Source organism: Homo sapiens, chromosome 12, assembly GCF_000001405.40.
Source record: "Homo sapiens chromosome 12, GRCh38.p14 Primary Assembly".
Lineage (NCBI taxonomy): Eukaryota > Metazoa > Chordata > Mammalia > Primates > Hominidae > Homo > Homo sapiens.
In genome coordinates this window covers 106,210,289-106,237,779 of record NC_000012.12, presented here as the reverse complement: position 1 = coordinate 106,237,779, position 27,491 = coordinate 106,210,289, and the positions used below count along the sequence as shown (strand labels likewise).

The window sequence follows — 27,491 nt, the reverse complement described above, 5'->3', positions numbered from 1 at the left end:
GCTGTTTTTTCTTTTAATTCTGAAACCGAGATGGCCTCACTCTTGGGCCGGGGACCTCCTTTGATGGACTGTTAGCAAGTGTGTTCAATGATTACTTGTCTCCAGCTCTGTTAGCTTCAAGCACAGGATCTCAACCCTCACTACCTATTAGAATCTTCCTAGGAGCTTTTAAAAAATGCCTGGGCCCTGCCCGCACAGATGCTGATTGAATAGGCATAAAGAGGCTGGCACTGTTTTTTTTTTTTTTTTTTTTGAGACAGAGTCTCGCTCTGTCACCCAGGCTGGAGTGCAGTAGCAGGATCTTGGCTCACTGCAAGCTCCGCCTCCCGGGTTCTGGCCATTCTCTTGCCTCAGCCTCCTGGGTAGCTGGGACTACAGGCGCTTGCCACCACGCCCGGCTAATTTTTTGTATTTTTAGTAGAGACAGGGTTTCACCGTATTAGCCAGGATGGTCTCAATCTCCTGACCTCGTGATCTGCCCGCCTCGACCTCCCAAAGTGCTGGGATTACAGGTGTGAGCCGCCATGCCTGGCCAGCACTGGTATTTTAAAGGCTCCCTCTCTGATTTTAATGTCCAGTCAGGGTTGAGAACCAGTGTCTCAGACCATCTGAGTGACCTTCAGCCCTAGTGCACACCTGGGCTTGTTTCCTTCTCTGGATTGCCTTCCACCCTCCACCCAATAAAAACCACATGCTGTTTATTGAGTACCTGTGTGCCAGGTCTTGTGCTCAGCATGCATAATAACCTGTTATTCCTTCTTACAGTCCCCCGAGGTAGGCAGTATCATTTCCCATTTCACAGAGGAACAGCAGGCTGAGAAGCTTCATACAAGGTCATTCATTACGAAGTGGCAGGGCTAAGCTTTGGACCTCATCCTTGCTCTAACTGGGACAGCATCCTCTACCGTCCACTGACACCAGTGCAGGTCCATTTGGCCTGTGGAATATCTGTCCTGTTCCAGAGCCCAAGGCTGCAAGAGATTTCTTCTTTCCCACCTAGGGAGTAGAGGGTGGCTAGGACCTGAGGTCCTGTGGCTTGATGTCCCCCTTTCTGGCTGAAAGGCCCCTCATCTCTGAATTGCTGTCAGTCACTCTGGGTCCCTCAAAGCTTCACAACTCAGAGCTGGAAGTTTTTTCCAAAGCAGTTAGCAAATCAGGACAGGCTCTGTAAATAATTTCTATTTTTATTTCAAAACCATTTTACTTTTTATTTTAAAGTCTTAAGTATTGACATGTATGCTTTAAATGGCTACTTTCACCCACTTGGGGAGGGTGCGGAACAGCATAAAGTCGCAGGCATGGAAAAAATTAAATTCATTTCCTTTTCAGGCCAATTGGTTGCATTGAGTATGTTCTTGCTGTTTCTCCTGTCATTTCTGCAGTTGCTCATCTCTGACTATGGAGTGGTTTAATAGATTCTCATTAATATTATAAAAGAAAATATTGACAAGTGTCTGATAAATATAAATTCAAGTGGTGAAAATAAAAGGAATATATTAGGAATTCACATATTTCTGATGGTGGGGCAGTTAGAGTTCTTACACCAAATAATGCAGCTCAGTCTTGTTTCTTCATTCAATATAGTGTTCATTCATTCAATAAACATTTATTGGGCTGATAGCCAGCCATTTTGCTAAGTATCAGTGAATTAAAATGTACAGGACTAGCCCAGTGGGAATGACAGTCATGTAAAGTGGTAGGTATTAGAAATACAGGTGCCATACTTGGGTGTATTGGGCCAAGAGGAAGGAGTGACCATTGTGCCATGGTTGGTCTAGAGGTGGTTAGAACAGGTTTTTGAAGGGCTGGGGGAAGTCCCTTGGAATGCTTTCATGAGTAATGGGAAGCTTCGGGAAACAGGTTGTTTTGCCCTTTGAACAAACAATATACACAAATTACTGAACATGTTGGTTAAATTGCAGATCCAGCACCAGGATAAGAGGCTGCAGTGAAACTTCTCAGGCAGGACTGACAGCACCCTGGTGAGGAGACTACTACACCACTGACCATGTGGCCTTGGGCAAGTCACTTAGAATGGTGATGGTGTTGATAATAGAGATGATGGTGGAGATGGAGATGATGATGGTGGTGATGAAGATGATGTGATGGTACAGGGTGGTTGTCAGGACTGAATGAGCGTGTTGAGGGGTTAGCACAGAATCTGGCACATCATAAGTGCTTCAGTGATCATGCGTGCATGGATCATACCAGAGGTTAAAATGTTGAAATACTGTTGTCCTAGTTGGTGAATAGCTTCTGCCCTGAACCCCCTGCATGTCCTCTCTCTGGACCACTATACCTCTTTACAATCCAGCAACTAATAGGTTAATATTCTAGTATAGCAGAGACCACAAGACTCTGCTCCAGCCCCAGGGCCTGCATTTGTTCTGATGGGTGGGTGCCCATCAGATTAAATATTTTGAAGTTATCCTTCCTTGTGAGCTCAATAATTTGTGTGTGGGTAAGATTTGTTTCAAAGAAGTGACTATATAATGAGGTGGTAAAACTTGAACCCAGTTCTAAAAGATAGGTAGGGTTGTCAGGTACCAGGCAAAAGGTACTGGGTTTGAAGTAGTCAGGAGAGTTGAGAGGCTGAGCACAGTTCTTGCAGTTGGAATAGAGAAAGCACAGGTGGGGAGTCGGGTGGAGATGGGGTAGGAGGGCTAATGGGGCCAGGACCTGGAGGCCTTGCATGTCATCCCTGAGAGTTTGGATCTGAACTATGAGGAATAAACAAAAGGGTTTAAGTGGGGCAGGGGAAGTAACCATGGTCAGAACTGGGTTCTAGAGTGCCCCCGCATTGGCAGGATTGGAGGAGAGCAAGGGGAGGGCAGGTGGACATTGGGAAGTCGTGGTCCAGGCTGGGTCCGATGTGCCCTGAGGATGAGGGTTGTAGATGGATGTCAGAGATGTGCCAGGTTAGATGCTGCTGAATGCATGTGGGGTGAGGAAGGGAGAGGCCTCTAAGACAACAGCCCTCCCAGATTGGGAGAGGATATAAGAAGGTGACTTGCGCTCACGTTGCCTGTACAAACAGAGCCCATGGGCTGGCCAGGTCTGGAGCTCGGTTGAGAGGCCTGCTTTCAGAATTACTCATCCATACTTACTATGAAATTAAGGAAGTGGATAGGATTGCTTAGATAATTTAAAGGAGATGTGAAAGAAAGGAACCCATGAAAAAATGATCAGAGAGGAAGGAGAAAAATGAATGGGGAGTAATGGAAAGGAAAGGCCCAGGAGGCCAGTCAGCAGCCACAGCCCCATGGCTTGAATAGTTAACCATGCCTCACTAGATCACAATTCTGTATGCTGAAATTCCCCTAATTAAATTACTTAATTTCTGTTTCCTTACGGGACCATAACTCATACAGAAGGCCTCCAATGGGTGAAACATTATTTGATAAAGAAAATGTACTTTCTTTCATGGTTTCCAGCAATGCCCATGCCTTACTTCTGAGACTGACACAGTGCCCTGCTTTCAGCAGACACTTAAGAAATTGAGTGATTTGAGATGGCTTTGCAGGGGCAACCCCTTGAAGACATTTCTTCCTGATATCACCACTGCAACGGAGATAGCTGCCTCTGTTTAGGCTGTGTAGCTTGATCTTAGTCTTTCTTCAGATGTCTGGATTATGTCCTGTTATGGCCAATGTGTGATGCTGTGTCCGGAATTGGTGGGTTCTTGGTCTCTCTGACTTCAAGGATGAAGCCGCCAACCCTCGCGGTGAGTGTTACAGTTCCTAAAGGCCGCGTGTCTGGAGTTTGTGCCTTCCCATGTTCGGATGTGTTCGGAGTTTCTTCCTTCTGGTGGGCTCGTGGTCGCGCTGGCTTCAGGAACAAAGCTGTAGACCTTTGCAGTCAGTGTTACAGCTCATAAAGGCAGTGTGGACCCTAAGACTGAGCAGCAGCAAGATTTATTGCAAAGAGTCAAAAAACAAACGTTCCACAGTGTGGAACACGACCGAGTGGGTTGTCACTGCTATCGCGGGAAGCCTGCATTTATTCCCTTATCTGGCCCCACCCACATCCTGCTGATTGGTCCATTTTACAGAGAGCCGATTGGTCTGTTTTACAGAGAGCTGATTGGTCCCTTTTGACAGGGTGCTGATTGGTGCATTTACAAACCTTGAGCTAGACACAAAAGTTCTCCAAGACCCCACTAGATTAGCTAGACACAGAGCACTGATTGGTGCATTTACAAACCTTGAGCTAGACACAGGATGCTGATTGGTGCATTTACAATCCCTTAGCTAGACATAAAGGTTCTCCAAGTCCCCACTAGACTCAGGAGCCCAACTGGCTTCACCCAGTGGATCCCGCACCAGGGGCTGCAGGTGGAGCTCCCTGCCAGTCCCGCTGGGTGTGCCCGCACTCCTCAGCCCTTGGGTGGTCGATGGGACTGGGTGCCATGGAGCACATGGAGCAGGGGGCGGTGCTCGTCGGGGAGGCTCGGGCTGCAGGAGCCCACGGAGGTGGGGGAGATGGGGGCGGAGGCTCAGACATGGCGGGCTGCAGGTCCCGAGCCCTGCCCGGTCAGGAGGCAGCTAAGGCCCAGTGAGTAATCGAGTGCAGCGTGGGTGGGCCAGCACTGCTGGGGGACCCGGCGCACCCTCTGCAGCTGCTGGCGTGGGTGCTAAGCCCCTCACTGCCCAGGCCGCCGGCTGCTCCGAGTGCGGGGTCCGCCAAGCCCATGCCCACCCGGAACTCTAGCTGGCGCATGCAGCCCTGGTTCCCGCCCGTGCCTCTCCCTCCGCACCTCCCGGCAGGCTGTTTGAGCCAGCTCCGGCCTCGGCCATCCCAGGAAGGGGCTCCCACAGTGCAGCAGTGGGCTGAAGGGCTCCTCAAGCGCCGCCAGAGTGGGCGCTGAGGACGAGGAGGTGCCAAGAGCGAGCGAGGGCTGCGAGGGCTGCCAGCACGCTCTCACCTCTCAATGTCAGGCAAGTACATCTTTTAATTTCTCTGTATCTCATGTTCCTCATCTGCAAAATGATGGCATTGGGCCAGACTAGTGGCTCTCACATTGTAACATGCATCAGAGTCACCTTGAAACCTTGTGAAAACACTGGGCCGGGTGTGGTGGCTCATGCCTGTAATCCCAGCACTTTGGGAGGCCGAGGCGGGTGGATCACGAGGTCAGGAGATCGGGACCATCCTGGCTAACATGGTGAAACCCCGTCTCTACAAAAAAAATACAAAAAATTAGCTGGGCGTGGTGACACGCGCCTGTGTTCCCAGCTGCTTGGGAGGCTGAGGCAGGAGAATTGCTTGAACCTGGGAGGCAGAGGTTGCAGTGAGCCAAGATCACACCACTTGCCCTCCAGCCTGGGCGACAGAGTAAGATTCCGTCTCCAAAAAAAAACAAAAAACAAAAAACAAAAAAAACAAAAAACCGCACACACACACCCACACAAAAACACTGATTGCAGGTCCCAGAATTTCCAAGTCAGGATGTCTGGGGAGGGACCCAAGAATTTGCATCTTTAACAAGCTCCAGATAATTCTGATGCTGCTGGTGAGGGGATTACACTTTTGAGAACCACTAGGGCAGAATTAGAGAGTAAGACTAAAATTCTATGGTGGCAGGTGTATTTATTTCTACCTAGAGGAAAAAGATGAAGGAGCCGGAAGCTATAGCCCAAAAAGAAATATAAAAAGTATATTTATGAGTGCCATCTCAATTTTTTTCATAACAAGGCTGGGCATGAATGAATTCATTAAATCATTTTTTATTTCAACATAGGTGCCAGAACGACACAGTCATTTTCTAGACTTTTTCTTGTATATGCATTCATGTAATTTGCCACCTAGATAATAATAATTCCTAAATCCCTATGCCTAGCTGAGACCATACCTCTGAGCTACTAATCTGTTTTTCCAATAATATCTGGACACCTTGCTGCCCCCTAACACCCTCGGAAATCTCCCTCGGATCCAAACTGAAGTCATTTCCCCTCGAAGTAAATGGCACAGCTGGCCCCTTCACTGCTTAAGCTAGAAGCTCAGGAGTCACCCGTTGTCTCCCTGTTTCTCCCCTTTCCCCTCCCTCCACTTCTCCTAGGGTTGAGGCCTTGACACATCCACCTCTGTCCCCTCCTCCCAGCCTTTTGGGTTCCAGCAGCAGCCGCTCCCCACGATGCTCTCTGCTGGTCAACTGAGATCAGAAACGTGGTCCATGCACTCAGTATCCATTCAACAATATTCAGAGAGCGCACACTCTTTGCCAGACTAAGGAGATTACTTTATAGATATGGTTCCTGCCTTCATGGTGCTCATGATGCAGCTGGGAGGAGACATACAGGACAATGTATTATACACACTGCAGTATATGCTTGAGGGACAGGTACAGCCTCCTAACTGGCCTCCCTGTCTCTAGCCTGGCTCCCATTCAGGGAATCAATCCTCCATGGGTGACCATCGTTCTCTTTCTCAAAAGTAAATCTGCCTGTGTCCCCTCCCTGCGAAATCCCTAGGCTCTCCCCTTGGCCTCAGGAGCAGCCTGGCTCTGGGTCGTGGCCAAGAAGGAGCTTTCCGATTGCTCTGTCTTCCTGCCCTCCAGCCTCCTCTTCTGTGAACTCTGTTTGTAGCCGCCCTGATTAGCATAACTACCCCTCATGTGGCCCCTGGTTCTGTCACTCTTGGTGCCTTTGCACGTTCCCTGGATCCTTCAACCCAAACCACAGGCTGAATTTGGGAGCTCCTCCCACGAGAGCCCACACTCCAGGCTTCTTGTCTTCAAAGTGCTCCTCTGTCTGTATCATGACCGCTTGCTTCTGGTGTGTTCCACATGAGAATAAGGCTCTGTCTTTCATCTCTGCATCCACAGAGATCATTGTGCTTGGCCCACATCAATAATAACAGAAATAACTAAAATTTATTGAGCATTTACTATGTGCCAGACACTGCTCTAAAGGTTTTACGAGGATTATCTCATTCAATCATTATAATAGTCCTAAGGGTAGGTACTATTGGCCTCTCCATTTTACTGATGGGGAAACTGAGGTACAGAGCGATTCAGTAACTTGGACAAAGTACTTCCTAGTCATAGCTAGCAAGTGGGGTAGCCAGGTTTAGAACCCAATAGCTTGAGTTATTAGGTTGGTTCAAAAGTAATCGTGTTTTTTGCCATTAAAAGTAATGGCAAACCATTACATTTTAATGGTAAACCATTAAAATTTTGTACTGCTCTAGAACTGGTTTCTTTTCTTCACTTAAAAAGACATCACTGTTTGGGATTACTTTTTGTTGAGGTGCAACTTTGGTGCTTTAAGGCACACACATCTGAAATATATGGCTGAATGAATTTCTGCACACGATATCTCCATGTACTCACTACCAGATCAAGATATGCAACTTTTCCAGCACACCAGGGGCTCCCCGTGCTCCTCAGTCAATACCCTCTAACCTAACCACTATTCTGCTATCACCATAGAATATTTTGCCCATTTTTGAATTTTGTAGAGATGAAATCATACCATATAAGACTTGGTATTTCTTTTAAAAAATGACAGCTTTACTGAGATAAAATTCACATACCATAAAGTTCACCCTATTAAAGTGTACAGTTGTTTTCAGCATATTCACAGAAGGCTGGAAACATTCCTATCTGGATGAATCTTGCCCAGCCATATATTAAAAAAAAGTGTGAGACATAGTAGGTGTTCAATAAAGGGCAGCTGTTTGAGAACATACTGACTTCTGAACTGGACACTGCATTTGTCCTGATGGTCAGTAACTCAGAGAGAAAAAGAGAGGGTGAGGTGTAGTGGACGTTTTCTTCGTCATACCCCTCTGACTGGGTTCACAGAGGGAGGACCTAAAACCTCAGAGGCAGAGGGTTGAATTGCCCTTCCCCGTCTTCAGGATGTGTTTGGTCAAGGGATTGATTCCACCTACTGTCATTTATTATAAACTGGGTGCTGAGCTGCATTTGCTCAGCGGAGATGAGATGAAAGATGAAGTCTTCCTCTTTGAGAGGCTCCCAGCCAAACAGGGGACACAGACATGTAAATGGCACCATAATCACATGCAGGGTGACCTGTGCAGCGGTCAAGGGACCACATGAGGACTGCTGGGTCCTGGACATGTGTTGTTGCCTGCCCAGCATCCAGTCCTCCTTCATTTGGTGACCACTTCTCTGTTTTCTGTTAGGGAATCACCCCTTCCCCACTCTCAGTCCATTTGGCTTTGATGAGACTGACTGGGCTGAGTGCATGACCCAGGTTTGGCCAATCAGAAATCTGGTTTGACTTGTGCAGGAGGAATACAGGTCGCCATCCAGTCCATTGACTACTGCTGGAACTTTCTGGAAAGGGATGCTTTCTGCCCACCGGGACTGCCAAGCTGGATAAATGCCCAGGGCTGCTAAAGGCCACCACATGTGCAGAGTCCACTGAGAATGAGGCCAGCATAGAAGAAAACAGAACCAAGAGTCGGCAAAACACAGGTTCCTGAGGACATAGTTTGAACACCCAGGTCACTTGTGCTAGAGGCCATGTGTGTCTCCACAGAGCCCCTGAACACCACTGTGTCCCCTTTCCTGCGCACAAGGCGACATGCAGCCGTGGAGAGAATGGGCACAGCAGCGCCGCTTACGAAGAAAGAAAAGTGGAAACACCGAGAAAGTAGCTACAAGATCAGTAAATCCACTATCACTTGTTCATACAATAGACCTCAAAACGACAACAAAAAGGAAGAAATCCTAATCTCATATATCGTGGGGATGAATCTCACAACTAAAATGCTGAGTGAAAAAATAAGCTGCAGACAAAATACACAGTGTGACACTTCAGAAATTCCTTAATTCTTAAAACTAAGACATTTTACCGTGTAAAATAATACTATACATTGTAGTGAAAGTACCAAGAAATGACTAGGAGACCGAATATCCAAATTCAGATCATTTGATTTCTTAGGCTGAGTGGAGGCTACCTAAGTATTCATGATATCACTCATAATACATTTTTTCTCCTTTCAATATTTTATTATGAAAATTCAAACAGCAAAGTTGAAAGAATTGTCCAGCGGACACTCATATATCTACTACTTAGATACTATAATGAACACTTTGCTATGTTTGTGTATCACATATATATCCATCTCCCCATTTTTACAATTTTTTTGAACAGTGTCTTGCTCTGTTCAGAAAAATAAAAAAATATGGGGAGATGGTATATATATATGTGATATATATACGTCCAGGCTGCAGTGCGGTGGCCGATCTTGGCTCACTGTAGCCTCTACCTCCCCAGCTCAAGTGATTCTCCCACCGCAGCCTCCCAAGTAGTAGCCGGGACTAACAGGCGTGCACCACCACACCCGGCTAATTTTTGTGTTTTTGTAGAGACAAGTTCTTGCCTTGTTGCTCACTCTGTTCTTGAATTCCTGGACTTAAGTGATCACCTGCCTTGGCCTCCCAAAGTGCTGGGATTACAGGTGTCAGCCACCATGCCTGGCCTCCCCATATTCCTGATATCTTTTCATAGGTCAGAAATATTTTGTAATTAAACTTTTTTTTTTTAAAGGGGAAGAAACACATAGAGAAAAGCTTATACTTTTAATAGTTAAACTAGTACAGGTCAGAAAACAAATGACGCCTACATATATTACGTGAAGTGCTGCATTTACGCATGATTACTTTTCATAGTAATGATAGCTAAGTAGCCATGTGACAGGCCTTAGAAAGCTAAGGCTGAGAGAAGGCTCTAATCTAATTCTGTTGTTTTACAGATGGGGAGGCTGAGTCTCAGAGAAGTTGTTCACCCAAGCTCATACACTAACTGGCTAAGAAGACAGGGCCTAATTTCTTCTCTTATCCCCCACAATTTGTTTTGGCTCCAGGCCTAAGCACAGATGCAAAATGCTCAGAAGTAAGCGAAGAATCAGGGCAGTTGAGTTGCTGCAGGCAGCAAAACCCACTCTTGGCAGGAAGGGGTGTGGCAGCCTGGCCTTGCTGTGCAAGCCCCCGCGTGTGGCAGCGAACACTCAGGAGCAATACCTGTTGGGTAATGGGGCTGTGGGGAAATCCCGGCCTGTGTTCAAATAGCTGGTGATGTTGTGTTGAAAGAGGCATTACCAACTGGGTGTGGCTGCTGGTGTGAGGACACATCCTGTCCCACAGAGTCCTTCATGGAAACTCAGAAGGCTAGGTCTTTTTGTTTTCTTCCATTCACGGGTATGATCTTGGTTTGCACTCCAGGACGGAGTTCTCACATGGTGTGACAAGAACAGCAGGGATGGGGGAAGTCACCTGGAATCAGGACTCTGGTCCGAATGCTGGCCTGCCGGGCTGTGCTGCCTAGGATAATTCACTTTCCTTCTCTGGGCCTCCATCTGTTTTCCCATCTGAAAAGTGAGGGGAGATAAAGTAATCTTCATGTTCTCTTCCAGATCCAACTTTCCTTGACTTTAACCATTGCACAAGAGTCTTTTGGAGCCTCGGGTGGGCAGGAGGAGGCCTAAGGGAAAAAGGACTAGACAGTGAGCAGATCTCTAGGGGCCAGGGTGGCTTCTGTCTTAACCAAGGGTCTGTTTGTAGCTCCCATGGGGGCCGGCACACACTGGGTCACAATTAATGTTTTCTCATTTATTGGGGTGAAATGGGGAATGTTGGCCGGGCCGGGCTGACATCTTGGATAACCTCATGTGAAGACTATTCACTTTCAGAAGATGCCGGGATGCACCAGTAAAAAATCCAGAGCGGCTCAAGCCCCTGAACTTTCAGCTGGGGAATAGCCCCAAATCAGCTGACTGTGGCAGTAGGAACCCAGAGAACATAATTGAAGTGAGAATTTATTGCCATCTAGTGTCAGAGTCAGGGATCACAGGAATGATTTCTTCATTTTTCGCTCTTGTTCCAGAAAGGGGATAAAATCCAATTGTACCATTAAAAATACCAGAGAAATCCACTATTTAAAAGACCTATGTGTGTATTTCTCTGTGACATGAATGCTTTTGTAATGTGTATACTATCCTACTAATTAGCCCCTTTTGAAAACTTAGGTAATAAAGGGTTTTGTTTAATATGAATCTTTTGTTAGTAGAAGTTTAGATACCGAAAGACCTTTATCGTTCCTATGTCAAGCTAGTTAAGAAGTGCGCAGTGGCTCACGCCTGTAATCCTAGCACTTTGGGAGGTCAAGGTGGGCGGATCACGAGGTCCGGAGATCGAGACCATCCTGGCTAACACGGTGAAACCCCATCTCTACTAAAAACACAAAAAATTAGCTGGGCGTGGTGGCACGTGCCTGTCATCCCAGCTACTCGGGAGGCTGAGGCAGGAGAATCGCTTGAACCTGGGAGGCGGAGGTTGCTGTGAGCTGAGATCACAGCACTGCACTCCGGCCTGGGCAACAGAGTGAGACTCTGTTTCAAAAAGGACAAAAAAAAAAAAAAGTGCAAGTGGCGCCCTTTAAATAAGGCAAGTCAAATGTTGGATGCTTAGTCCTTCACTTAAGTAATAGTCACCCATAATTGTGTTTTGTGTTTGATGTCATGCTTTAGGTGGAACACATTTATCATCTCGCTTACCCTGACGATTATCCCAGGGAGTAAAAGTGGTTGTCTCTGATTTACTGATCAGACACTAAGAAATGGTCATTAATTTGCTCTGGGAGCACGCAGTCTGTGGTAGCAGCAGGACTCGGACTCTGTTTGTCTCTAATAAGGCCTGCTTTTTGTCTGTTAAACCATACTCCCTTTCCCATAGTAATAAAATCAGCTTCCCATAATGTCCCAGGATACAACTATGTACTTGTACTGTGTGTATAGTACTGGTGGTTAAGACACTGGGTTCTGGCCAGGTGCAGTGGCTTGTGCCTGTAATCCCAGCACTTTGGGAGGACAAGGCAGGCAGATTGCTTGAGCCCAGGAGTTCGAGACCAGCCTGGGCAACATGGCGGAAAACCCCATGTCTACAAAAAATATAAAAATTAGCCGGGTGTGGTGATGCATGTCTGTAGACCCAGCTATTCAGGAGGCTGAGGTGGGAGGATTGCTTGAGCCTGGGAAGTCAAGGCTGCAGTGACCCATGACGGCAGCACTGCCCTCTAGCCCAAGTGAGACCCTGTCTCAAAAAAAAAAAAAAAAAAAAAGATAAGAAATTGGATAAGTTGAGTTTTTGAGCCTTACTATTTGAGTTCCCAGCCATGGCATATTCTATCTGTCTGACATCGGGACAGTTACTTAAGTGCTCCGTGCCTCAGTCTCCCCACCTATAAATGCAAATGATGCTAATGATAGTGCCTACTTCATAGGGTTGTTGTGAGGCTTACTCCATCTGAGGTGCTTAGAACAGTGGCCATGACAGTGAAGTGCTCAATAAATAGTACTTAGAAATTGACTAAATGCAGGGAATTTGAAATGCCAGGCTTGTGAAATGAGCCCTTCTATTGTTGGCCTGCAAAATGTGAGTTTAGAATTTTTTTTTTGACAGGGTCTTACTCCATTGCCCAGGCTGGAGTGCAGTGGCATGATCATAGCTCACTTGCAGCCTTGACCCTCCGGGCTCAAGCGATCCTCCCGCTTAATCCTCTCTTGTAGCTGGAACCACAGGTGCACACCGCTACACCTGGCTCGTGTTTTGATCTTTTCATAGAGACAGGGGTCTCACTATGTTGCCTAGGCTGGTATCAAACTCCTCAGATCAAGTAATCCTTGCACCTCGGCCTGCTGAAGTGTTGGGATTACAGGCATGAGCCACTGTGCCCCGTTGAGTTTGGAATTTTGATTATGAGTGCCTTCAGGTGGGCCTGTGTTTGATTGTGAGTGCCTTCAAGTGGGCCTGTGTTTGATTGTGAGTGCCTTCAGGTGGGCCTGTGTTTGATTGTGAGTGCCTTCAGGTGGGCCTGTGTTTGATTGTGAGTGCCTTCAGGTGGGCCTGTGTTTGATTGTGAGTGCCTTCAGGTGGGCCTGTGTTTGATTGTGAGGTCTTCAGGTGGGCCTGTGGCCTCTAGATTCTCACATTTCCCACCACTCACTTGTGTCTGCTTCTCCATTCATTTAGGCCTCCTGTCTGGCTCCTGGAAGCATTTGGTGTTTTGATCCTTGCAGTGAGTGAGATGAATTACATGGACATTGTCAACCTGATGGAAACTTTGGGCTCTTTGTCGACCTCTTTTAAGGGCTGTGACTTCATGGCTTTGTACATCAAAGAAGATCTTTGGGTTTTCTTGTGCAATTTGGCTTCTCCTGCCGAGAACAGAGGCTCTTCTAGCCAAGAACTAAAGCCCACCATGGCAGTCCCTCCCCAGATTCTTCTGCAGATGGCTACTTTCCTCCTAGCCTTCACGGGAAGGAACCGGGGCTTGCTGAGGTAAGGAGGGGCACAGGAGAGAGGGAGTAAAATCTGCAGAGAGGCAGCCCACACACTCAACCCCTAGAGCCCCTCTGCAGAGAAAGTCTATGCTGAGGAGATGTCAGAGCCACAGGACAGTCCTGAAAATCAGGTGCCACTCAGAGGCAATTGCCATCCACTACCAGAAGAGGGCACTGTAGTGCAGCGGCCCGGGAGGGAGCAGCTGCAGCCGATGAAGGTTCTAGGCCAGACTGCATGGAAGTAGCTGGGACCTGCCGTTAAGAAGCTTGGCCCAATTTTTCCTGATGGCCCCTTCTAGCTCTGACATTCTGCAATCCCATCAGGAGAGAACTGGAATGAATCAGCCAAGAATTCCAAGTGGGTTATAGAAGGAAGAAACCAGAAGCAAGGGCTGGGGGAGGAGGTGGGTGTGGCTGGAAAGTTTCTTTTGTTGGGGGCTAAAATCTGTCTAAGTGAATCCAGCAGGAGGAAAAAAAAGCCTTAAAACAGCTCCCCTGGGGTCACATGCTCAGGTTGGGCAGCCTGTCAAACCACCCCAAGTCGACTGGAATCCAACATGACATTATAGCTCACTCCTGCCCTTGTTGGAGGAGTGCTTAATCCCAAAGAAACAATTAAAGTTACAGATAGCACACACTGGTGGTTTGCCCATCTCTGCATTTTGTAAAAGCAGAGCCTATTTTCTTTCTTGATGGAACTGCCTTCCAGAAATGGCTTGCTGCAGAGTCTGTGGTGGCCTTGGGTGCTCCTTGGCAGAGATGAAAAGTGAAGTCAGCAGGCGAACCCTTTCTGGCTTGGCTCAGGCGGCCACCGAACATGCCTTGTTATGCTTCAGAAACCCCATTGGCAGTCCCCTCACCTCCCAGCCTCTGACTCTGGGCAGAGTCTCTTTCCATTGGAGTCATTTCAGTGGGTGCTCTGGAAGACTAAGGGCTTGTCATTAAGAGACAAATGGGTATTTTCGATGGTTCTGGGTATTTGTTTCTCCACTGGCCTCTGATCCTGCCAGAATCACCTAGCACCACAAAGCCAGCACCAGAAGTGTGAGCGCTGGATAGGGTGGGTGAGACTTGTTCAGGGCCCTCCTACCTCACTTCCCATTTTCCAGACTATTCCTGCATCCGTGGCTGTGGCCCTCTTACCCGCTGTCCTGGTATTACCCTTGGACTTGTTTCTGGAGCTGGTGGGGGCAGGATAGCCTCGTGGCTAGAAACTTAGGCTCTGCAGCTAGACCACCTGGGTGTGTGACTTGGGGCAAAGCACTTAAACTTATTGCCTCAGTTCCTCACCTGGAAAATGAGGTGATTATAATAGTACCTACCTCATAGAGTATTCGTGAGAAGTAAATCTATAAAGTGCTTACAGCATTATTATCAGGTACCTAACAAAGATTTGTTGAATATATACATGCATGTCTATATTACACAGATTGATGTATCCTGATAAAAAAAAATCTCAGAAGAAAATACATAAAAAAAAAATCTCTTGCTTTCTGTTTCTGGCCAGGTAGAGTAACAGGGACTGGATTTATCAACCTGTCTGAAACAACTAAATCATAAGCACATAATAAGTGCTCATTAAATGTTTACCATTATTATTTTCATGCTTTAACTCATCCCTCACAAGTGTGTGAAGCAGGTTGTATTATTAGTTCCATTTACAGCTGAGGAAATTGAGTTTCATATGGCTTATGTGACTTGACCAGGTCACTTAGTAAGAGGCAGAGTCAAGATGCAGACATTCCAGAGGCTATGTACTTTTTATTTTTGAGACAGAGTCTCACTCTGTCACCCAGGCTGGAGTGCAGTAGTGCGATCTTGGCTCACGGCAACCTCTGCCTCCTGGGTTCAAGTGATTCTCCTGCCTCAGCCTCCCGAGTAGGTGGAATTACAGGCATGTGCCACCACGCCCAGCTAATTTTTGTATTTTTAGTAGAGATGGGGTTTCACCATGTTGGGCAGGCTGGTCTTAAACTCCTGACTTCAGGTGATCCGCCTGCCTCAGCCTCCCAAAGTGCTGGGATTACAGGCGAGAGCCACCGTGCCTGGCCCAGAGACTGTGCTCTGAACCACTGTGCTATCATGCCCAAGCATGTAGCTAAGGGTTCAGTGATATTTGTTGAATGAATGGCCCCAACCACCCAGAAGGAGATACTCTCGATCCTCTTCCTCCTCTCCTGTCTCTTCAACCTCTCCTTTCCTGGCTTTATCCAGTCCAGTCTTAAACATGTTTGCCTCTCTCCTATTCATGAAAACAAAAAAGCAAAAAAACAAAAAAAACAACAAAAAAAGAAAAGCTCCAGTGCCATCTCACCCCTTACCTTCCCTCCACAGACAAACCTTCCAAGGAGTCACCTGTCCTTGTCTGCTTGTCTTCACTCTTCAATCCCCTGTATCATGAACTCTGCTCTTTGTCATCAAGATGGTTCTTGCTGAAGTCACCGATAGTTTTCAAGATCTGAGTTCTTCCTGTTCCCATCTCCCTTAGCCTCTCATCCGTGTTCACTGCAGGTGCCCACTCCCTCCCTTGGTGTGCATGCAACTTCATGCTCCTGGTTTTCTTCTTACTTTCTTGACCACTTCCTCTTGCTAGCTGTGCAGGCTTCTCTTCCTCCACCAGACCTAAGGGCTTGGATGTGAGCTGTTCTCTCTCCTTGCTCTATGTTTTCCTCCTGGGTGATGCCATCTGTGCCTACATTATGCAGGCCACCTACACAGGCTGAGGACCCTAAAGTTTTATCTCTAGTCCAGACCTTTCTTCTGAGTTCCAGCTCAGCACTGGTCAAATGCTTACTTGTCATTTCTACCCGGATGTTCCAAGATCCTTCAGCAGATCTCTGTCATTAAACCGCCCCCATCTATTTGGGGGAAAGGGCTCAGATATCCTCTCTTCTAGTTCTCAGCCAATTACGTGCTCTCAGACTAGAACTTCTAGTCTTTGTGGGGCAGAGATGATCAGAGGTTATTTATACTGAAACTGAAGACATTGAGGGTCCAGGGTTGAGGTGGCAAATGTCCTGGTGTGGTGATGCCACTAGTAGCATCCACAACAGACTGTTTTCACCTGAACTTTGCCTACCTCCTGCCTGAATAATTTAAGCACCTGAATCTCTGGCCTTTCTGATGACCACTTCCTCTTGGGAGCTGTGCAGGCTTCTTTTCCTCCACCAGTCCTAAGGGCTTGGTCGTGAGCCACTGGATATCCTTCCAAGGCTTGCTTAAAGATCTTTCAGTGGACTCTCCATCATTAAAACACCCTTTCTATTTTAGGGAGGGGGCACAGATGTTATCTCTTCTAGTTCTTAGCCAATTACATACTCTCAGACTAGAGCTCTGAATCTTTGTGGCACATAGGTGCACATGTACCCTAAAACTAGGTTTTCTATGTAGAAAGATAATAAAACTATACTTGAGTCTCCAAAAAAAAAAGAATTATTTACACTGAAACTGAAGAAACTGAGCATTCAGGGTTGAGGTGGCAAATGTTCAGGAGTGTTTTGTGTTGATTGCAACAAAAACCCATGAGTGGTACAAACTTATTACATTCACTGTGCTCCAAATGAGCTCATTGACCACTCCTCTGAAACCTCCTCCTTCTCCATTGAACCATATCGGAGTAAATGGCTTTTCCATCTATCTAATTTCTCATGTCAGAAGCATGAGTCCTTGTGCCTCCCTCTCCCTTAGTGTCCACAGCTGGTCATCGTATTGATGCATCTCTATAAATATCTCCCGGGAACTTTTCCTGATTTCCACTGCCATGACTCTTGTCCAAACCATCATTCTGTCTTTCCCAGACTCTCGTAATTGCCTCTTAACCAGTGTCTGTGCTTCTCCCAGTCCACCCGTCACACAGAAGCCGGAGTGATGTTTCAACAGGACAAATTTACTTACGGTCATTTGCCACTTAATGACATTTCAGTCTGTGATGAACTGCATATACGATGTTGATCCTGCAGGATTATAATACCATATTTTTACTGTCCCTTTTCTATGTTTACATATGTTGATACAGAAATACTTCCCATTCTGTTACAATTGCCTACAGTATTCAGGACAGTCCCATGCTGTATAGGTTGCAGTCTAGGAGCAATGGGCCATAACATATAGCCTGGGTGTGTAGTAGGCTATGCTGTCTAGGTTTGTGTATGAACTCTGTGATATTCTCACAATGACAAAATCACCTAACCACACATCACATTTCTCAGGATTTGTCTCCATTGTTAAGTGATACACGACTGTGTATCATTCCTTTGTTTACAGTCTGGCTTGTGTTGCTCTGACGGTAAAGTTAAAAATCACATTGCAGTCCCTCAGTTTTCACTAGAAGCACTTTCAGTTCCCCACCAATGCAAAACTGCTTACCACCTTGGCATCTTGGCACAACCTAGTCCCTCTGCCTAGAATGCCCTTCCTATTACCCACCTTCACTTGGCTAACACCAGGTCATCTTTTTGATCTCAGCTGAAATGCTGCATGTGAATAAGGCTTCCTTGCCTCTCCAGGCTAAGTCAGGTTTTTCTAATACGTGGCCTGCTGGCATTCTGGATTTCTCTATCTCAGCTCTCATCAAAATTGCAATTAATTATTACTATATTTCCTTGACTTTCTGATATGTGTATATGTTTCTAAACACCTAACATCTCTGAAGTTGGGATGCATCTTATAATTGAAGGCATCTCAGAAGTATCATTGGTAGTGTTTTTTTTAGTGGCATATAAACTAATGGTGCAATTTATGAGCAATGGCATCTTAGATTTGATGAACTGTGGTAATTATATAGTTACGTGTTTGCCTAGTTCATCTACTAGGCTGTAAGTTGTGTCTGTCTTGATGAGAGCTCTATCCCCAGCACTACTATAGTGCCTTGCACATAGCAAGCACCCAGTAAAGATTTGTGTGTGTATATATACATATATATACATTATATATATGTAACACAGACGAGTGTATGCCAGAAAATTCCCTAAGAAAATAAATGAAAAACTCATATTTTGACTTCTACTTCTGGCCAAGGTGGAATAACAGCAGGGGATTTACCCACTCTTCTGAAAAAAGTAAGAAATTGGATCAAATATATGAAACAATGATTCTCAAGATACTGATCACTAGGCAATGAAGGACAGCGATCTTTGAGAGAAGAGAAGCAAATGAAATGAGTGCTATAGCTGCCCTAGCTTGTTGCCTGGAGAGGAATATGTTGCCCAACTGAGGAGAGTTGGGCAACCCAGGCTGTGGTGCAGGGAGGGAGATCCCAGGTGGATTCTGGCAGTCTCCCTGAGTTGAAGAGGCAAAGCCAGGAGCCTGGTGAGGCCAACATGGCTAGAGGTTACAGGACAGAGAACTGCAGAGGAGATAGAACTCTGAGATCTGCAGATGGTCTCCCTCCAATCTTCAATAGAGTACCCATCAGCACATGTGTTTTAGAAAACTATCCAAGGCTGGAGAAAGAATGACTTAAAAGGATGAGAGTCTGGGCGCAGTGGCTCACGCCTGTAATCCCAGCACTTTGGGAGGCTGAGGTGGGCAGATCACTTGAAGTGAGGAGTTCAAGACCAGCCTGGCCAACATGGTGAGACCCTGTCTCTACTAAAAATACAAAAATTAGCCAGGCATGATGGCATGCACCTGTAATCCCAGCTACTCGAGAGGCTGAGGCAAGAGAATCACCTGAATGCGGGAGGCAGAGGTTGCAGTGAGCCAAGATCGCACTGCTGCACTCCAGCCTGGGTGATAGAGTGAAACTCTATCTCAAAAACAAACAAACAAACAAACAAAGAACGAAAGGCCATAATTCTCAGAGCTCACATAGGGTTAGGATTCTGTTCCCACCAGTAAAAGTGAAAACCTCAAAACCTCATACTTCACAGTACATTAGGCAGAGGACTCAGATGTAGGGAAAATTAGCCTCAAACAAAACTGCTCTGGTCCTGCTCAATAAAGTTTAACAGCAAGACTTGAAAACATCATACTGTCTCCGGGTAACTTCACACTGTCCAAGAACAAAGTTCGAGAATATTTATAATAATACAAAAACTGTACAAAATTTTACCCAAAAAGGTAAATTTCACAATGTTAGGCTGATGCAAAACATCAGCAAAATGCAACCCATAATGAAGAGAAAATTCAATCAATTAGAACTGACCTAGGAGTGACACAGATGTTAAGAGCTATAGGCAAGGATGTTAAAATAATTATTATAAATGTATTCCATGTGTTCTAGAAGCTAGAGGAAATATTGAACATGGTAAGTAGAGATATGGAAGTTATAAAAATGACCCAAGTCAAACTTCTAGAGGTGAAAACAATGATGTTCAAGATGGTACTAATGGCAGGTTAAACATTTGAGAAAAAAGATTAATAAACTTGAAGACATAACAGTGGAAATTACTGGAAATGAAACATTGAAAAAAACCCAGAACGAACAGCATTAGTGAGCTGTGGCAAAACTGCAAGTAGCCAAATATACATGTAATTGGAATCTCTGAAGCAGAGGGGAGAGCAGGAAAATATTTGAAGAAATAATGGCAGACATTTTTCAAATGTGATGAAAGATATAAACCCACAGATCCAAGATGCTTGCTAATCCCAAGAAACATGAAGAAAATTACACTAAGATACATCATGATTCAATTGCTTAAAACAGGTCACAAGTAGAGAATATTAAAAGCAACCAGAGGGAGAAAAACACATTTTCTACCAAAGAGAAGACGGCAGATATCTTGTTGGAAATGATGTAAGGTAGAAGAAAATTGGGCAATATATCTAAAATATTGACAGAAAAACCGTCAACTCATTTCAAAAATGAAGGCAAAATAAAGCTGAAAGAATTTATTAATATCACCAGCCAATTTGTACTAAGAAATATTAGGCTGGGTGTACTGGCTCACACACTTGTAATCCCGGTGTTTTGGGATGCAAAGGCAGGAGGATGGCTTGAGCCCAGGAGTTCAAGACCAGCCTCAGCAAGATGGCGAAACCCCATCTCTAAAAACAAAACAAAACAAAACAAAAAAACAAAAATTACTCAGGCATGGTGGCATGCACCTGTGGTCTCAGCTACTTGGGAGGCTGAGGTGGGAGGATCTTGAGCCCAGGAGGTAGAGGCTGTAGTGAGCCATGATCACAGCACTGTACTCCAGCCTGGGCAATAGAGTGAGACCCTGCTTCAAAAAAAAAAAAAAAAGAAAGAAAAAGAAAAAGAAATATTAAAGGAAGTCTTCCAGACAGAAGCAAAATGCTACTAGGTAGACATTTGAATCTATGTAAGAGAATGAAGAGCCTCAGAATTGTTAATTATGTTGAGTAAAAATTCTCATTATTTAAATTCTGTAAACTATAATTGACTTTAAATTTACAAAGTAACAAACTATTGTGGAGCTTATAACATGTATAGAAATAAAATATATGAGAACGAGAACACAGAAAGGGAGGAATTGCAAAATAGGATAGTTGTACAATTCTTAGATGTGAAGCAGCATTATATACTTGAAGGTAGACTGTGAGTTAAAGATGTATGTTATACATCACACACCAGGGCCTGTCGGGGGGTTGGGGGCAAGGGGAGGGAGAGCACTAGGAGAAATACCTAATGTAGATGACGGGTTGATGGGTGCAGCAAACCATCATGGCACGTGTATACCTTTGTAACAAACCTGCATGCTCTGCACATGTACCCCAGAACTTAAAGTATAATAGTAAAAAAGATGTATGTTATGAACCCTAGAAAATCCACCAAAATTGCAAACCAAAGTTATAGCTAATAAACCACCATGGAAGATAAAATGCAAAGGGGTGGAAAGGAGGGATTCCAAGAGAGTAGGAGAAAATTTTCGGGAGAGACAGACATGGTCATTGTATTATTGTGGTGCTGATTTCATGGGTGTAGACATATGTCAGAACTGACTAAATTCTACACCTGAAACATACGCCCTTTATTGTCTGCCAGTTGTACTTGAGGAAAGCTGTTAACAAAAATATTTCTTGATGGGAGGATTATGCATCACTTTTATTTTTGCTATCCTTTTCTGTGTTTTCTAGCATGAAAATGAGAAAGATAAAGCCAATCAGTCTGTTTTCATAAAGCCACTACTTCTAACCCTTCCTTTTGTCATTCTTTTCCTTTCATTATAGAAAAACCACAAAATTCTCCTGTTTTTCACACTTTTTCCTCTTCTCTGTCTCTAATCCACTCAGCCAAAGATTACCAGCTTCATTATTCTAACATGTTCCTTTCCTGCATCTCTCCCTGGCTACCTGTCACCTACCATGTAGCTGAGGTCTCAGACCCTTAGCGGGGTATATAACACTCTCAGTCTGGCAGCTTCCTCCATGTGGTCTGGTTAGCCTACTCCAGTGGGCACATTTTGGTGCTTAGAGGCTTGCTTGGGACTTGGGTTTTACTTCTCCAGGGTACCATTTGCCTGGGCCTCTGTTCATTAGGAGGGGGCTGCAGAAGGAAAGAAAAAGCAAGAGGCTAGGGAGCAGCTCCTCACTGTCCTGAATCCAGCAGTCTTTCCACTGAGCCTGGGGGACTCAGCCATGGAGGGTGAGCTAGGAAGAGGGAGACCCCCGCATCTTAAGTGTCCCAGAAAAGAGAAGACCTTGAGCTGAAGTGAGCTACACACAACACTGATCTCTCAGGATTTGTCAGCATTTAAGGGGTGTGTGTGTGTGTGTGTGTGTGTGTGCGCGCGCGCGCCTGCGCGCGCGTGTATCTTTCTCCCAGCCATAAATTCTAAACAATAATATGTATACCCCCAACACTAATAGTTTCTTTCTCAACCTCCCCTCCTCTCCCCTCCCCTCCCCTCCTCTCCTGTCCTCTCCTTTCTCTCCATTCTTCTTTTTCCATCTCCACTGGCTTCCACCAACCCACCCTCCCTTCTCCTTGCACAAGTCTCTCCCCCTTTTATTATCACTATATCTTGGGCTGCGTTTTCACAGCACATGGTCTTGAAAAGTGCCCAGCTGACTTGAGGGCTCCCTTGTGATGCTGTTTCCAACAGGTGTGTCCTATTAAGCTTTGCCCCAGCCCCAGCCTTAGCCCCTGGCTCCCATCTCTGCCCTGGCCACCTGCAATGGCCCACTTCCCCACCTAACCTCAGCTTTTGCAGAGCACGGGAGAGGGCTACCTTTAGCAGGTGTGCTCCTGGCTACACGTCTGGCTGCCAAAATCAATGCTCCTCATGCCAGGCAAGAGCTCTCCGCATGGTAGAATGTTTATGGAACTTTTCCGCAGAAAAATCTGGAGCCAAGCAGTTTGAAACAACAGGGAGGGATCCCGAAAAACATTTTTTTTTGCACTTTCTCCAAGGAACTTTCTCAGAAAGCAAAGGCAAATTGCATTGTTTATGGGGGAAAAAAACACAAGACACCAACAATAACACAGGGTAATTACAGACGATGGAGCGAAATGCTGTCAGCGACCACTGGAAGAAGGCTGGCTTTTTTTTCCTTAGTATTCTTCATGTTGGATGCAAAATAGCCACGGCTGTGCTAAATTCCTGCGGATGGTGCGTTTCTGCCAGGATGGATCTGGTTGGGACAAAATCTTTGGTTCTGAGTAAGGGTGGAAAGCATAATAAGTGTTTGTTGGAAAGATTGGAAATTCCTTGACCTTCTCCAGGCTCTGGATCTCCCAGGGAGCTGTGAATGGGAAGCTCCCAGTTTAGTTTCTGTGACAGCTGGGTCTCGTCTAATGAAGTTTCAGGGACCCTTGACCTCTGGGTAGTGAAGTCTTGGGTTTACACTGCTCCCCTCTGCTAGAGCATGGACTACCAGCTGACCTGCCGAGTCACTCACCTTAAATGTTAGCAGTAGCTATGGGGTGTGTGTGTGTGTGTGAGAGAGAGAGAGAGAAAGCAAGCAGGCAGAGTGTGACTTTTTTTTTTTTTGAGACAGAGTCTCTGTTACCCAGGCTAAAGTGCAGTGGCATGATCTTGGCTCACTGCAACCTCTGCCTCCTGGGTTCAAGCAATTCTCCTGCCTGTCAGCCTCCCATGTAGCTGGGATTATGGGCGCCCACCACCATGCCTGGCTAATTTTTGTATTTTTAGTAAAGATGAGGTTTCATTATGTTAGCCAGCGTGGTCTCGAACTCCTGACCTCAAGTCATTTGCCCGCCTCGGCCTCCCAAAGTGCTGGGATTACAGGTGTGAGCCACTGCTCCCGGCCAGAGAGTGACTTTTTTTTTTTTTGGAGACGGAGTCTTGCTCTGTCACCCAGGCTGGAGTGCAGTGGCATGATCTCTGCTCACTGCAACCTCTGCCTCCCAGCTTCAAGCAATTCTCCTGCCTCAGCCCCCTGAGTAGCTGGGATTACAGGCCGCGCACCCGGCCACGCCTGGCTAATTTTTGTATTTATAGTAGAGATGGGGTTTCACTATGTTGGTAAGGCTGGTCTGGAACTCCTGACCTTGAGATCTGCCCACCTCGGCCTCCTAAAGTGCTGGGATTACAGGGGTGAACCACCGCACCCGGCTGAGAGTGACTTTTAAAGACCTTTCACAGAACAGCCTTGTATCAGTTTCCTCTGGCTGCTGTGACTAATTATCACAAACTTAGTGCCTTACATCAACACAAATTTTATTCTCTCACAGTTCTGGAAGTCAGAGTTCAAGATCGTCTCACTGGGCTGAAATCAAGGCGTTGGTAGGGCTGCATTCCTTCTGGAGGCTCTAGTGGAGAATCTGTTTCCTTGTGTTTTCCAGCTCCTAGAGTCACCCGCATTCCTTGGCCCCCCTCAGAGCTGGCAGTGCAGTATCTTCAGATCAACCTGGAGTCCCTCTGACACTTTGCTTTTCTCTTTGAAAATCCCTTTCTGACTCTTTTAAGGACCCTCATGAGGATCCTTGGACCCTTGGGCCCACCTGGATAACCCAGAATAATGTCCCCTTCTCAAGACTTTAACTTAATCACACATGCAAAGTCCTCTTTGCCATGTAAGGCAACATATTCACAGGCTTCAGGGATCAGGATGTGTACATCTTGCAGCGTGAGAGGGCCATTATTTTGTCTACTATTGGCTTCTTTGAAAGGCAGTTCTTTCAGTCATGTGGTGAGAACAGAGGGGACTTGCTTTAAATGGAAAAGACAGTGGCTGAGATGGGATTTGAATCCTAGCTTAGGACCCCCTGTTTTTCCACTGCACTAGGATTTGAAGGTGAACTTTTGAGGGATTCTTGCAATGCACATCATAGCCTTTTTGGAGAGGAAGCAATGAGATAAAATTCTAAGCCCAGAGGGTGTTGGAAGGACCAAATGAAAAATTGTAGAAACCATATATTGAGTTTGCTTTATGCAAAGACTATGGTTAAGTGGTAAAAGGCCTTACTTCACGGAATCATTCCCGGAACACAATACAGTGGGGGCAATTCTTAGCTCGTTTTTACAACTAAGAAGACCAAGACTAAGGGAGATTAAATAATTTGCCCAAGAAAGCAGTGAAACCAGGGTGCAAAATGAGGTCTGTCTGATGTCAAAGCCCACGTTCTTCATGACTGTGGTAAAGGGGGAGGACTCATAACACACTTTTCTGATAGGAGAAAATTCTACTGTTCCTTTTGATTTACCTGCAAGGCTAAGTTAATTCAATAACATTCAGAGGGGATTCAAGATGGCTGAATAGGAACAGCACCGGTCTGCAGCTCCCAGTGAGATGGACGCAGAAGGTGGGTGATTTCTGCATTTCCAACTGAGGTACGTGCTTCATTTCACTGGGACTGGTTGGACAGTGGGTGCAGCCCATGGAGGGTGAGCTGAAGCAGGGTGGGGCATTGCCTCACCTGGGAAGTGCAAAGGGTCGGGGAATTTTCTCCCCTACCCAAGGGAAGCCGTGAGGGTCTGAGCCTGAGGATCTCTGAGCCTGAGGATCTCTGGCACAGATACTGCACTTGTCCCACGGTCTTCACAACCACAAATCAGGAGATTCCCCTCCGGTGCCTACCCCACCAGGACCCTGGGTTTCAAGCACAAAACTGGGTGGCCAATTGGGCAGACACCGAACTAGCTGCAGGAGCTCTTTTTTTCCATGCCCCAGTGGCACCTGGAATGCCAGTAAGACAGAACTGTTCACTCCCCTGGAAAGGGGTACTGAAGCAAGGGAGCCAAGTGGTCTGGCTCGGTGGGTCCCACCCCCATGGAGCCCAGGAAACTAAGATCCACTGGCTTGAAATTCTCACTGCCAGCACAGAAGCAATCTGAGATCCACCTGGGACTTTTGAGCTTGGTGGGGGGAGCGGCATGCGCCATTGCTGAGGCTTGAGTAGGTGGTTTTACGGTCACAGTGTAAACAAAGCCGCTGGGAAGTTCGAACTGGGCAGAGCCCACGGCAGCTCAGCAAGACAGCTGTGGCCAGCCAGCCAGATTTCTCCTGTCTGGACAGGGCATTGCTGTAAAGAAGGCAGCAGCCCCAGTCAGGGGCTTATAGCAGATTTAAACATCCCTGCCTAACAGCTCTGAAGGGAGCAGTGGACCTCCCAGCACAGCGTTCAAGCTCTGCCAAGGGTCAGTCTGCCTCCTCAAGTGGGTCCCTGACCCCTGTGTATACTGACTGGGAGACACCTCACAGTAGGGGCCAACAGACACCTCATACAGGAGAGCTCTGATTGGCATCTGGCAGGTGCCCCTCTGGGTCGAAACTTCCAGAGGAAAGAACAGGCAGCAATCTTTGCTGCTCTGCAGCCTCCGCTGGTGATACTCAGGCAAACAGGGCCAGGAGTGGACCTCCAGCAAACTCCAGCAGACTGGCAGCAGAGGGGCATGACTGTTAGAAGGAAAAGAAACAAACAGAAAGGATTAGCAAGTCCACTCAAATACCCCATCCTAAGGTCACCAACATCAAAGACCAAAGGTAGAGAAATCCACAAAGATGGGGAAACACCAGCGCAAGAAGGCTGAAAATTCCCAAAACCAGAACACCTGTCCTCCTCCAAACGATCACAACTCCTCACCAGCAAGGGAACAAAACTGGATGGGGAATGAGTTTGATGAACTGACAGAAGTAGGCTTCAGCAGGTGGGTAAGAACAAACTCCTCGGAGCTAAAGGAGCATGTTTTAACCCAATGCAAGGAAGCTAAGAACCTTGAAAAAAGGATAGTTAAATTGCTAACTAGAATAACCGATGTAGAGAAGAACAAAAATGACCTGATGGAGTTGACAAACACAGCATGAGAACTTTGTGAAGAATACACAAGTATCAATAGCTGAATCAATCAAGTGGAAGAAAGGATATCAGAGATTGATGATCAACTTAATGAAATAGAGAAAACAAGATTAGAGAAAAAAGAATAAAAAGGAATGAACAAAGCCTCCAAGAAATATGGGACTATGTGAATAGACCAAATCTACATTTGATTGGTGTACCTGAAAGTGACAGGGAAAATGGAACCAAGTTGGAAAACACTCTTCAGGATATTATCCAGGAGAACTTCCCCGACCTAGCAAGACAGGCGAACATTCAAATTCAGGAAATACAGAGAACACCACAAAGATACTCCTCAAGAAGGGCAACCCCAAGACACGTAATCATCAGATTCACCAAAGTTGAAATGAAGGAAAAAGTGTTAAGGGCAGCCAAAGAGAAGGTCAGGTTACCCACAAAGGGAAGCCCATCAGACTAACAGTGGATCTCTCTGCAGAAACCTTGCAAGCCAGAAGAGAGTGGGGGCCAATATTCAACGTTCTCAAAGAAAAGAATTTTCAACCCAGAATTTCATAGCAAGCCAAACTAAGCTTCATAAGCGAAGGAGAAATAAAATCCTTTACAGACAAGCAAATGCTGAGGGATTTTGTCACCACCAGACCTGCCTTACGAGAGCTCTTGAAGGAACCACCAAACATGGAAAGGAACAACCAATACCAGCCACTGCAAAAACATACCAAATTGTAAAGAACATCGACACTATGAAGAAACCGCATTAACTAATGGGCAAAACAACCAGCTAGCATCATAATGACAGGATCAAATTCACACATAACAATATTAACCTTAAATGTAAATGGGCTAAATGCCCCAATTAAAAGACACAGACTGACAAATCGGATAAAGAGTGAAGCCCCATCAGTATTCAGGAGACCCATCTCACGTGCAGAGACACACATAGGGTCAAAATAAAGGGATGGAGGAATATTTGCCAAGCAATTGGAAAGAAAAAAAAAGCAGGAGTCGCAATCCTAAT

General features: G+C 46.0%; 3 annotated features.

Annotated features, from left to right (window-relative positions):
• Positions 13,394–13,503: a silencer, noted in NCBI's record as "silent region_4812". NCBI's record gives its function as "represses an Ori minimal core promoter by ATAC-STARR-seq in GM12878 lymphoblastoid cells {active_cell/tissue: GM12878}" and the evidence as "EXISTENCE:reporter gene assay evidence [ECO:0000049][PMID:35858748]".
• Positions 13,554–13,603: an enhancer, noted in NCBI's record as "active region_6945". NCBI's record gives its function as "activates an Ori minimal core promoter by ATAC-STARR-seq in GM12878 lymphoblastoid cells {active_cell/tissue: GM12878}" and the evidence as "EXISTENCE:reporter gene assay evidence [ECO:0000049][PMID:35858748]".
• Positions 25,119–25,619: an enhancer, noted in NCBI's record as "H3K4me1 hESC enhancer chr12:106605939-106606439 (GRCh37/hg19 assembly coordinates)". NCBI's record gives its function as "activates a minimal SCP1, AML or CMV promoter by ChIP-STARR-seq in primed H9 embryonic stem cells {active_cell/tissue: H9 hESC(primed)}" and the evidence as "EXISTENCE:reporter gene assay evidence [ECO:0000049][PMID:30033119]".